The 14,217-nt window shown below is 39.0% G+C and overlaps 1 annotated feature.

The window, feature by feature from the left end:
• Nucleotides 12,512-13,711: an enhancer, noted in NCBI's record as "MED14-independent group 3 enhancer chr8:138052445-138053644 (GRCh37/hg19 assembly coordinates)". NCBI's record gives its function as "activates an origin of replication core promoter dependent on BRD2, BRD4, P300/CBP and CDK7 cofactors, and independent of MED14, by STARR-seq in HCT116 cells {active_cell/tissue: HCT116}" and the evidence as "EXISTENCE:reporter gene assay evidence [ECO:0000049][PMID:35650434]".

Below are 14,217 nucleotides of genomic sequence, written 5' to 3'. Positions count from 1 at the left end.
ACCATCCACAGATAAATGGACAAACACAATGTAATATACCCATATGATGGGATATTATTCAGCTTTAGAAAGGAAGGAAATTCTGAAACATGCTACAACATAGATGAATCTTGAGGCCATTACGCTGAGTGAAATAAACCAGCCACGAAAAGACAAACACCATAGTATTTCACTTATATGAAGTACCTAGGTCAAATTCATAGAAAAAAAAGTAGCATCATGTTTCCCAGAGGCTGGAAAAAGGAAGAGATAGGCGGTTATTGTTAATGGGTGTAGAGTTTCAGTTCTGGAAAATGAAAGGAGTCCTGGAGATTTGTTGCACACCAATATAAATGCATTTAACACTACAGAATTGCACACTTAAAGGAGTTAAGATGGTACATTTTATGTTATGTATATTTTAACACAAGTATTTTGAAAAATGATCAGTGGTTGCCCGGGTTTTGGGTAGGGAAAGATGGATAAATAGCTGGAGCACAAGAGATTTTTAGGTCAATGAAACTTCTGCATGACACTCCAATGATGGATACATGATGTTATGCATTTATCAAAACCCACAGAACATTCTAATACAGAGTGAACCCTAATCTAAACTGTGGACTTTAGTTAATAATTGTGTATTCATATTGGCCAATCAATTGAAATGATTGTACCACATTAATACAAGATGTTAATTACAGAGAAGATTATGTTGGAGACAAAGAAATATAATAAAACTTTTTGTACTTTTCTGCTCAATTTTTATGAAATCTAAAAACTCTCTAATAAATAAAGTCTATTAACTTAAATCAATTGTCAGACTTACAAGTTTTTCTATAAATGGAGCAGAGCAGCATACACTCATGTGGTATATCTATCTCCCAAACCCAAATTTCCAAACAAGAATTATACTTTATTTATTTATTTATTTTTGCTATGACAAATGGTGTGGGGTACAGGAAAATGTCATTTACTTTAGAAGCTGTATCCAAACCTGTTTCAGACAATTAACCCCCTAGAAACTTTATTGATGTATAAATACTACTGAAATTTCTCTGGCATAATATCTCCAATTTAAGCATTTAAGGTTTTGTATGTCTCTCTCACATAATCCAATGAGCATAAAATCATTTACGTTATGTAACCAACAGCATGATATACTGGAAGAAATTAATGTGACTAAATTTTTTACAGAATATATAAAGAAAAAGCATATTAAAGTTCATATAGTCCTAAAATAACTGAGTAAAGAAGTATTGCTGTTCTTGCCTGGTAAAGTGGATGATTTCCACTTTATATTAATTGGGAATTAATATAAATTAACTTTATATTAATTGGGAATTAATATAAATTAACTTTATATTAATTGGGAATTAATATAAATTAACTTTATATTAATTGGGAATTAATATAAATTAACTTTATATTAATTGGGAATTAATATAAATTAACTTTATATTAATTGGGAATTCCACTTTATATTAATTGGGAATGCATATATTAATTGGGAATGAGAAACAAAACATTTGATAAGTCAATTGGTAGCTGTGTATTTGTTGTTGTTGTTGTTGTTTTTCTTTTTTTTTTGCCAGGAGCTGTTGATTTGCTTTGTAAAGAGTTTACATCTGGAACACATCCTGTGATTAGTGCTAACATGTGATAAAGTTTACTGTAATTCACAGTCATGCTTCAAAATCAATGTTGGCTTTTACTCAACCTGCTAAGGAATGAAAATGGAGATCCCGTTCAGTTGCTAAATAGTTCTATTCCAACTGCACATTGAGAAACTAGGGAAATAACCACAGAATGGACCTACTATGGACCCACTGCGTTACCCACTCAGGCCAAGTGTCCATTACTGCCTGATTTCCATAAGTTCTCACCCTGACCACAAAGGCATTTTGGGTTCTGAAGGGTTGGTGTTAACTCAGAACCCCAGAAGGTCTGGGTATATGTCTTTCTCCAAAACACTTAAGTCGTCACTTAATATTGTTGATAGATTACTGGAAACTGTGACTTTAAGTAAAATGAAGCATGATTAAACCAGTTTTATCATAGGCTAGTTGATACGAACAAGTGTCAACTTCCTGTGGCATATTTCTGATGACAAAAACATCATGAAACTTCTAAATAAAGACCCCAGACACTTCAAACTTTAAACATTGAAATGAATGTGAGCTATACATATATTTAAGATAAATTAATAAAAGCCGGTAAGATAATTATTTACTCAATTTTTGGTGAATCAGTGAGTGGTGACAGTTGTAGCAGTAGTGGGTTAAATCAATGGATAAATGTTTGCAAATCAAAAATTGTAAGGAGCACCTCCTGGCACCACGCATTTCAACATCAAACAATCACAAATGTGGCGAGCTTGCTGAATGCTTTCCTACTGCATCGTTTATTGTTGTGCCTTTATGCAATTATTGTGGGCTTTCCAAATGTTTAGTTTACAATCATTTGTATTCAATCAATCATCATTTTCCAAACTGTTTATTCCAGTTCAGGGTCTCAGGTGACTGGAACCTATTCCAGTAGCTCAAGGCGGGCACCAACCATGGAAGGACGTCATTTCATCACAGGGTTCGCTTACACCAACACCCACACTCACTCAGACTGTGACAGTGTAGAAACGCCAACTCACAGAACATACACAGCTTTCGGATGGGGGAGAAAACTGTGGTACGTGGAGAAAACCCACAGATATGGGGAGAATATAAAACCTAGCAAATGCAAAATATACAGCTGATAGAATAAACATTGTAATCGATATAATTCTGAAAATAAGGCAAACCACAGGAGTCTTTATTTTTTTATGGAGGTATTTAGGTTTATGTATTACTTGGTAAATTCTCTGTTGCCTTTGACAGCACCTCACTGAGCATAAAATTGCCAGAAAGGTGGGAAGGAATTAAGCACTGTGAGTAATATCCTTTGTAATGTCTGACAGAGAAAGGTTAAGGGAATTTTATTTGCTATAAAGAGATGGAAATAAATTAGTTGAAGACACCATGGAAAATCAGGGAGGCAGAAACAGATAGTGATAAGATCCAGGAAAGAAATATGAGATTATAAAAAATAGACATTTTAATTCATAGAATAATAAATGTGAGAAGAATTTTAAAGGAGAGACCTAACGCAAAAAGCATCAAGATTTTTCAACTTAAGTTAGAAAGGGTTGGATGAGTTTATAAGACAAGTCAGTTGTTATGAGTTTTTGTTATTTATTTATATACTTTAATGGGCAGGAAACAAATAAACCGAAGCAAACTTAGGACCTAGAAATCTCTTTAACATTCTGAGAAGACAGAAAGTAGAGAAGAAAAAAAAAAGAGTTTGAAATGGAGTTTTCTGAAATCTTTTCTATAATCTGACTCTCTTACAAGTCGTAATGATTATTGAAACATTTATATCAAGCCCTTTTCACCTTGTGTTTCTCTTTTTATGAAAAAGTGGGTTCTTGTTAGCTATTAATATATTATTATATTAACTGAATACAGGCCTTATATGTTGGTAATAGATAGAAAGATCACCTTTTGTGCTGGGAAGAAAACATGAATGGCAGAGCAGAAGTCAATTTTTTGTGCTGTAGTCTGATGAGCAGGGCTAGGGCTACATGAAGTTGAAGTCATATTACCTAGGCTTTAGACCTACAGGCATACAGTTTCAGAGATAAACCCAAGAATGAAGAGGAAGGGCAGGTGAGGTCACGACTGATCAATCACATATGCCTTGAGATGGGGATGTGGACTTGGGAAGGGGCTGGTGGTAGCAGCGGTGGGACATCACACCTAGATGCCTGGGGGAATTTGCACTTGACTCCACTAAGTGCACTATCCCAGTTTTATGGATCTAAGTTATCCGCATCAGTTAGGAAAAATTCTGATGCAAGCCAAAGCATACCTCAAACTGGCTTAGACAATAGAAGTTAGTTACTGGATTTATTGGTTTATTTACTGTACATTCCAGGATTGGAGGTGGCTTTGGTTTGAGAGAAACTCAGAAGGTCAGAAATTCACTTAAGCGTATGATTACTTCCTCTTCCTACTGCCTCCCATGGAGTCATCTTTATCCTAATGTTGGCTCTCCACTGTGGACCCAGATAATTGGCAAGAATGGAAGAAGGCTTGCTGCTGGAGCTGCTGGAGCTGGGGATCCCAGCCATTCACCTCCTGCTCACTGGGGAAGATTTCTCTAAGGAATATTTGTGACATGCAGAAGAATGAAGAGTGGGATCCTTGTAGGAAACCACAGACATCTGCTCATCCTGAAACTCTGAGGCTATTGTCTGAACTCAAAGGCAATATTTTTTAAAGTCACAATTACTCAAGAGTTTTTAGAACAGAGGTCACCTGCTTTCAGACTGCACCTAATTCATAATAACATTTTAAAAACATTTGTATAATTATTTACAAATAAAATTACTCATCAATTCCCCTTCTTTCCCCTACTCCCAACTATAAGCCAAGTTCAACATTTTATTCTCCTTTCTTTCCTCAATACATGCATAGACAGTGCAGAAGCATAAGAATGGGCATAATGTATGTACCATCGGACAAGTGCTACCTTGAGCCTTAATACCTATTAGTGTTTTCATTGTCTTAAAATTATAAGATAGAGTCTATGACTGATTCCATTCTGCAGATAAGAAAAGTGGCACGACATGCAGCTGAATACTGGCAGAACTAAGATACAAACCCTGGCAACTCACTACAAATTCTTTGGTTTTAATACTTTTAAAATACTTTCTTGAAAGAAATTAATAAATTGGTTATTTCATAATTACATCAATGAATGACTGAATCAACTAATGAATGAAAAATAAAAAGACAAAAAATGTCTCTGTCTGCATATTCTATACATATGTGTGTTCTCCTTACAGATAGTGTACCAAAAACGGGTTAGATTCTTAAGAAATACGATTTCAAGCTCAAACAGTGTCCTTAATTTTCTGTCGAATTTTAGGGAATTTTTAAACTACTCAGGGTCCCTGTCAATAAAACCACTAAATGTGTGTTGAAATTCTGTCCTTTCTACTTCAGAGGACATTTTTGTGGATACAAGAAGAGAATACATTGTAAGTATATTGGAAACTGTAAAGCATCATACAAATATAACGTATACACCTGTAACACTTTTCATGTCGTAAAGTTGTTTCCCCATGATGAAATGTTGAAAATGTTGATGAATAATACCAGAAATATATAGTCTAGAGGCCTGCCATAATCATTACAGTTTAGAATTTTAGAGCTAGAGGCCCTTTAGAGATCATTTATTTTGAGCTCTCATTTTTCATATTGAGATCGATTCAGGGTCATTTTGTCTATGGGGCACAGGATCCTCAATATAAAACAGTCCTGCTCAAATCCTCAGGTATCTTAATGTCATTGCATCAAAAGGTTAGAATGTCTGGCTGCCATCAGAGGCTCCTCACATTACCCTGAGCTAATAATTACTTGTATTCAATAAGTACTCAATAAGCTTTTATTCGATGAGTAAATTGTAATTTCTTAGCAATTAGGCAGCTGACTATATCCCTTAATCTGAATAAATTAAAAGCAGCTGTTTCTGGGAAGTATGTATCCTAGACAAAGTTTAGGCTCCCTAACATGTCCTCATTACCTTCTAGCTGGATAAACTTGGCCCATTCTCTTTACTTGTCTCTAGTTACGAAGGGCTCATCTTCCATGTGGTTCAAGTAAATATGGCAGTGTTTTAGGTAGATGTGGAACTCATAAGAATTTAAGGGAATGGCAGCTGAATTCGTTAGCCACACCACAACACTGCTGCATAACCAAACATCCCAAACTCAGCAGAAAGCGCTTAGTACCAGGCACAACGTTCTGCAACCCATTCAGGGGCAATTATACACCTGGCTGCTGGACTGTGATACCAGGTGAAATATCTCTGATATGGTTTGGCTGTGTCCCCATCCAAAATCTCATCTTGAATTGTAATCCCCATAGTCCTCAAGTGCCAAGGGTGGGACCAGGTGGAGGTAATTGGATCACAGGGGCTGTTTCTCCCATGCTGTTCTCATAATAGTGAGTGAGTCTCACAAGATCTCATGGTTTTATAAGCATCTGGCATTTCCCCTGCTTGCACTCACTGTCTCTCCTGCTGTCCTGTAAAGAGGTGCCTTCCACCATGATTGCAAGTTTCCTGAGGCCTCCCCAGCCATGTGGAACTATGAGTCAAGTAAACCTCTTTTCTTTTAAATTATCCAGTCTCACGTACTTATTAATGGCAGCAAGAAAAGAGGCTAATACACTAAATTGGTACTGCAGAGAGTGGGATGCTACTATTAAGATACACAAAAATGTAAAACTGACTTTGGAACTGGGTAACAAGTAGAGGTTGAATCAGTTTGGAGGCCTCAGAAGAAGGCAGGGAGATGTGGAAAAGTTTGGAACTTCCTAGAAACTTGTGGAATGGCTTCGACCAAAATGCTGATAGTGATATGGACAATGAAGTCCAGGCTGAAGTGGTCTCAGATGGAGATGAGGAACTTGTGAACTGGAGTAAAGTTCACCCTTGCTATCCTTCAGCAAAGAAACTAGTGTCACCTTGCCCCTGCTCTAGAGATCTGTGGAACTTTGAACTTGAGAGAGATGATTTAGGGTATCTGACAGAATAAATTTCTTTCCTTCTTTCCTTCTTTCTTTCTCTCTTTCTCTTTCTTTCTTTCCTTCTTTCAGACGGAGTTTCACTCCTGTTGCCCAGGCTGGAGTGCAATGGCGTGATCTTGGCTCACCGCAACTTCCACCTCCAGGGTTCAAGTAACTCTCGTGCCTCAGCCTCCCGAGTAGCTGGGATTACAGGCATGCACCACCATCCCAGCTAATTTTGTATTTTTAGTAGAGATGGGGTTTCTCCATGTTGGTCAGGCTGGTCTCCAACTCCTGACCTCAGGTGATCCGCCTGCCTCGGCCTCCCAAAGTGCTGGGATTACAGGCGTGAGCCACCATGCTCAGACTAAATGCATGATTTGGCTCTTAGGAACAAGATTTCTTCCAAGGTTTTTGAGGTCAGTTCCTCTCAAGGTCCTTCCTGAACTGCATTGCCTATTCATAGTTTTACTTGACCCCCTGCAAACCTTCCCCACACATATGCCAACACTAACACAAATCAATATGCTTCTACATACACAGGCCTAACATGCATATCATAAGCCATACCAGCACACGCGCACACACACACACACACACACACACACACACACATACTTTTTCATCTTTACTTATATAACACCTATTATACTTTACATTTTATTTTAGTGATCATACTCTTTGAAAGATTTTTATAACCTCCATTATTAACTTATATTACTATATTATTTCTCTTTGAGTACATTTTTAGGCTTGAACTTATCTTTACTTCCCAATAGACTAAAGGTAGATACTTAAGCATTCAAAATACTGACATTCTGCTATTATTTTCTCTGTGCCTGGTAAACTGTATTATGCACCAGCAGAAAGACATAATAAACACTCACCAAAAGCATTTAGTTTAAAAATATGGTAGTTAATACAGTTAGGCTCTGTGTCCCCACCCAAATCTCATCTCGAATTTTAATCTCCATGTGTCAAGGGATGGACCTGGTGAGAGGTGGTTGGATCATAGAGGCAGTTTCCTCCATGCTGTTCTTGTGATAGTGAGGGAGTTCTCATGAGATTTGATGGTTTAAAACTGTTTGGCATTTCCTCCCTGGCTCTCTCTCACTCTGGCTGCCATGTAAGATATGCCTTGCTTCCCTGTCACCTTCCACCATGATTGTAAGTTTCCTGAGGCCTCTCCAGCCATGTGGAACTGTGAGTCAATTAAATGTCTTTTATTTATAAATTAGCCAGTCTCAGGTAGTTCTTTACAGCAGTGTGACAATGGACTGATACAGTAATTAATGAACATATTGCCAGTTTTTATACAGAATATTGCATTTTATTAAGAGTTTATAAGTTTACAACTTCTAGATCTTACACTGATGTAATGAAAAATTTGAGCAAGTAATAGTCATTTATGACATGTATTGAAAATAATAGTAATGAATGTAAATATATTTAAACATCATATCTAAAATCATATTTAGATTCAGTTTCTGTTAATATTTAATGACTTTTCTTCTAGTATGTAATTGATAATTTTGTTTTTAATTTTTTTCTTTTCTTTTCTTTCTTTCTTTCTTTTTTTTTTTTTTGAGACGGAGTCTTGCTCTGTCGCCCAGGATGGAGTGCAGTGGTGCTATCTCCACTCATTGCAAGCTCCACCTCCCAGGTTCATGCCATTCTCCTGCCTCAGCCTCCCGAGTAGCTGGTACTACAGGCACCCGCCATCACGTCTGGCTGATTTTTTTATTATTATTATTTTTAGTAGAGACGGCGTTTCACCATGTTAACTAGGATGGCCTCTATCTCCTGACCTCATGATCTGCCCGCCTTGGCCTCCCAAAGTTCTGGAATTACAGGTGCGAGCCATCGTGCCCAGCTGATAATTTTACATTATACAGAGTGGAGATCACAATACACACCATTTATTCCCCTATTTTCAATTAATATTACATGGTGAATATTTTTACATCTTCAAAATTTTGTCAAATATATTTACACATGCATGTGTAAATCAATAATATAATTATTTAGATACCTTAGTGGAACCATGCAATGATAGGACTAAAATAAATATATTGACAGAACATTTTCTCCCATATGGATACTTCCTTTAAGCCAAAGCTATTTATTACCAAAAAGACTGAGTGCTTATTTAGTAAGCTAAAGTTAGATACCCACAGTGCCTTCTTTATCATAGAAATTAAGGAGGTGAGATACTTAATAACCGTACACAATACAGGGTGGCTGATAAGTATGATATAAATTTCATTCCTTAAAAGTTAAACTGCTCTAATATTCACTTATTATGAGGCTCCGTGAATGAGAATAAGAAGTTAACATGAGACAAGTTTTCTGCCCTTGGTATATGAATAATCTATTTAAAAGGCCACATATGTACCTATGAAATAGTTACAGAACCATCCCAAGGGATGAGATGAGTAGAAATGCACAGCGTAGACAGCACATGATAGTGTAATGTGGAGGTGGAGTGTCAGTTTGGATGGGTGCAATCCATGGAGGCTTCCTGCAGAAGATGGACTTAGCTCTGCTTTCTGAATAATGGAGTATGGTAGAATAACATTTATTCATGGCCTATTACACATCAGTCTTCATCTTTGGACACCTTCACAGCACCACTGTGAAACCATTCTCATTTGACAGCTAGGTCTTGAACACTAACTCCACATATCTGCTCTTGAAGTGGCACTGTTAATAAGACAATTAGAAAGAACAGGGACAACATTGATGCAGGGAATGAAGCAAGCAAGAGCCTAGGGAGGCATGATATCTGGGAGTGAGCCCAGGCAGGTCACAAGCCAGGTATGTAAGAGGTGAGATGCAGTGTGATGTTTTATAATGGGTTGACAGCATGTCTAAGATGAGATTGAATAGACACTGTGGGATCATGTGGTGGAAGACATCAAATAGCAAAGAGGGACCACTCATGCCTATACCCCATGATGCTGATTCTGCCAGTGAGATCCCATTAATGCTCTGACTGCAATTTTACATTTGCTTAACTTAAATCTGCTTAGAAAAACAAGCTCAGTTAGTTTAGAAATAATTCTGCAGTCTGTGTATGTTTATATGTGTGTATCTGTACGTGCAATCACAAAATCTCTTCTCCATTATGGTGAAAATATAATTAATGCATTTTTCAATGATAGTGAACTGAGGGCCCTTCTATAGACACACACCCTTTTATATATTTGCAGTCAAAATGAATTATTTTCTATTTCTATTAAAAGACCTGGCTCTTGCCCTCATAGAGTTTGGGGTCTAACGGCCAAGGTAAACTGCAACAGGTGCTACAGAGGAAAGGTACACGGCAACTTGACAATGTCCAATGTCAGCTCCAGGAAGTCTTCCACAAGGAAACATTTACTGATTTTAAATTTCTAGGAAGAATGGGGAAAACCTGTACAAATGCAGAAGGAAAGAATGCTTAAACTGAGGAGATAGCATATCAGATACCCTGTGATTTGATAGATCAAAGCTTATATTAGGAACAGGAAAAATAAAACCATGTGGTTGAAGTGCAGAGATCAAGAGGAAACAGCAAGTCACATGAAACAAAATATTGACAGGGCTGGATCGTGCAAGGTTTGCAGGTTGTGGTAATGATCTGGTTTTCACTCCCTCTGCCCAAAATGAGGAGCCATTGATGAATTTTAAGTAGAGTCCTGATATGATCAGATTTGATTTAAAAGAAGGAAATAGGATGAAGAGAAAAATTAGAAACTAAGTGCTAAAAGATCAATGACTGTATGAAGATAAACAAACCAAGAACCACCAGCAATAAGCATTGTTAACAGTATTGGCATGATGTAGAAAAGATCGGGGTTTTGCAGAAGGGTACAAGAGAAATAGAAGAAAATGCAGCTTCTATATCTCAGTCTACAGGGAGATACAGTACTTACATTGATGAATGCAGTGCAGAGTGATACATGAGAAACTAAAGTAATTAGATTAAGATCAGAGCTTCTAGTTTAAATCCAGGTCCTGGCACTTATCAGAGATGAGAGGCACAGCCAATTACCTAGTTGCTATGAACATCTCTCTTTGTTTCCATAAAACGTGAAGAACCATAACTTATTGTATAGGGCTTGGAGAAGGATTAAATAACATGATGTGGAATAAAGCATTGAGCCCAGAGCATATACAATCACTAAAGAATCTTAGGTACAACTATTTTTAAAGAATTGTCATTGCTGTTGCTATCACAATGTCATTCTTAAAATCATTGTAATCAACATTGTTTTAAGAGGCTTAATAGACACTTTTTTTTTGTACAGTCAATTTCAGAGATGATAAAAATTTGAGATGGAGTCTACCAGGAATTCTAAGGAGTATCCAACAGTTCAGAAATTAATCTGTTACAACCAACTTTTGTAGACCTTTAGAAGTAGTTTAGAGTTAATTCTCAATATAAGATGAGCACTACGATAATTCCCTTTTTACTCATAAAGAAACCGAGGTATTGAGACATTAAGTAATTTCCAGGGATCATTCAGTTTGTAAGCAGAGGAACTCGAATTTGAATCCAAGGGTCTGGCTACAGAATGGGCATGACTAACCACTAGGCAGCAATGCCTCTGCTATGTTAAAATGGTCAGTGGTGAGGGTGACTAGTATAATACTGTCCTTTGATTTCCAATTTCTTCATGGTATGGTATGCAAACTACCACACAAAAAGCCTATTCTTTTGCAAAAAATTACTTGGGAAACTCGTGGAAAAGGACATGACCCAAAGGCCGTGTTATCATTTTTTCCTTTGTTTAAGATCTCATCCTCAAAGATGAAACCTGGCTCATGCATATCATGGAGCTTAATGTACTATTCAGTCACCAGGGCAAAGGAAAGTTGTATTCACAGATGGATTGTGTCTGCAGGCAGCCTTGAACTTCTCATGTTCAGTTGAAGAAACCATTTTCTTTGGTAATGCAACATTTGATGCAGCTGGATAGCTAGATTATTCCACAGCATCTGAACATCCACCAACAAAATGATGAAAGCTTGAGACAATTCGGTTTGCTCAGAGAAGTGTTATTGCTCAAGCTAGCCAACCGTCACTAACGTTTTTATATAAAGCCGATAAGTTCAGAGGTCTCTGGGATGAGCAGAGGCATGTGAAATCAGAAGATGGGTGCTGTCTATATCCTTCAAGGCCAGCTCAAATGTCGTCTCCTCCCTGACCACTGGACGCAGAATAAATGACTGTCAAAACACTCACTGTACACTTCTATGTTAGCACCAATTCCAGCATATTAGACATGTAGCCCTCAGGCCTTCTCAGAAGCACATTTTATGGATGCTGATGAGAGTAATTTTATCATTATTTCCTTACTCAAAGACCTTGAGCACATATGAGAAATTATTTTACACATGACTTGAACAGTACTGCTGGCAGTACTCTGGTTGCTCCCAATTTCCCGCTTGCTCAACCTCCCTCTCCCTGCTAGCTCAGCTTGCAGCCACCTCCTCTAGAATGCTGCATGTGGTATCATACAATGTTCATCTGAACAATTCCTCCTCTGCCTGCTGCCCCACTGCAATGCCAGTGCCCACCAACAATTCATCCTTTCGCAGTTATATAACCACAGTCTGGCCATGTCTCTTCATGATCCACCTGTCTCCTCCTCAAAGGGAGACGTCTTTTTTTTTTTTTTTTAATTCACCAAAAGGATAAAGGGTGAGAGTACAAGTGTAGCCAAGCAGTTGTGCTTATTAATAGATTTGTTCTAGGATTATCAAATATATCAAAGAAGCCTTCCTTAGGTCCCACATCCGTGGCATGCAGGGGATTCGGCAGAATGGGATGGAGTTTATTGGGGTGGGGTAGGTTACTATTTAGACTTACACTTACTCATGCTTTTCCTTTCACATCAGGCTCTCCATGAGGACCCTCTGTCACCCAACTCTTAATTCATTTATGGTGCTCTTGTTCCCTCTCATGGACTTGGTGTCTCTCACTGATTCAGCTGCCCTTGTCAAACTGTCTGAAGCACATGGATGGCAGTCATAATTGAAGAATTTAGTGCAGGTGGTAGCCAGAGCTACTTAAATGCCTTCTGTAGCAGCCATGGTAAAATGCTTTATTTATTGTTTTAATGGAGTTTCCTTTATTTAGAGATAGAAGAAATACTGGTGCAGTCTGTATCTGTAATCTGAAAAAGGAGATTATTTCCAGTCTTTAAAGAAAATCCAGGGAGGAGCCAAGATGGCCGAATAGGAACAGCTCCGGTCTACAGCTCCCAGCATGAGTGGCGCAGAAGACGGGGGATTTCTGCATTTCCATCTGAGGTAACGGGTTCATCTCACTAGGGAGTGCCAGACAGTGGGCACAGGTCAGTGGGTGCAGCGCACCGTGTGCGAGCCGAAGCAGGGTGAGGCATTGACTCACTCAGGAAGCGCAAGAGCTCAGGGAGTTCCCTTTCCTAGTCAAAGAAAGGGGTGACAGACGGCACCTGGAAAATCGGGTCACTCCTGCCCTAATACTGCGCTTTTCCGACAGGCTTAAAAAACGGTGCACCAGGAGATTATATCCTGCACCTCGCTCTGAGGGTCCTATGCCCACGGAGTCTCGCTGATTGCTAGCACAGCAGTCTGAGATCAAACTGCAAGGTGGCAGCGAGGCTGGGGGAGGGCTGCCCGCCATTGCCCAAGCTTGCTTAGGTAAACAAAGCAGCCGGGAAGCTCCAACTGGGTGGAGCCCACCACAGCTCAAGGAGGCCTGCCTGCCTCTGTAGGCTCCACCTCTGGGGGCAGGGCGCAGACAAACAAAAACACAGCAGTAACCTCTGCAGACTTAAATGTCCCTGTCTGACAGCTTTAAAGAGAGCAGTGGTTCTCCCAGCACGCAGCTGGAGATCTGAGAACGGGCAGACTGCCTCCTCAAGTGGCTCCCTGACCCCTGATCCCTGACACCTGAGCAGCCTAACTGGGAGGCACCCCCAGTAGGGGCAGACTGACACCTCACACTGCCGGGTACTCCTCTGAGACAAAACTTCCAGAGGAACGATCAGACAGCAGCATTCGCGGTTCATGAAAAACCACTGTTCTGCAGACACCGCTGCTGATACCCAGGCAAACAGGGTCTGGAGTGGACCCCTAGCAAACTCCAACAGACCTGCAGCTGAGGGTCCTGTCTGTTAGAAGGAAAACTAACAAACAGAAAGGACATCCACATCAAAAACCCATCTGTACATCACCATCATCAAAGACCAAAAGTAGATAAAACCACAAAGATGGGGAAAAAACAGAGCAGAAAAACTGGAAACTCTAAAAAGCAGAGCACCTCTCCTCCTCCAAAGGATCACAGTTCCTCACCAGCAGTGGAACAAAGCTGGACGGAGAATGACTTTGACGAGTTGAGAGAAGAAGGCTTCAGACGATCAAACTACAAGCTACAAAAGGAAATTCAAACCAAAGCCAAAGAAGTTAAAAACTTTGAAAAAATTTAGACAAATGTATAACTAGAATAACCATTACAGAGAAGTGCTTAAAGGAGCTGATGGAGCTGAAAGCCAAGGCTCGAGAACTATGTGAAGAATGCAGAAGCCTCAGGAGCTGATGCGATCAACTGGAAGAAAGGGTATCAGTGATGGAAGATGAAATGAATAAAATGAAGCGA

This window comes from Homo sapiens, chromosome 8, assembly GCF_000001405.40.
Source record: "Homo sapiens chromosome 8, GRCh38.p14 Primary Assembly".
Lineage (NCBI taxonomy): Eukaryota > Metazoa > Chordata > Mammalia > Primates > Hominidae > Homo > Homo sapiens.
The sequence above is the reverse complement of the archived record's forward strand: the minus strand, read 5'-3'. Positions and strand labels throughout refer to the sequence as shown.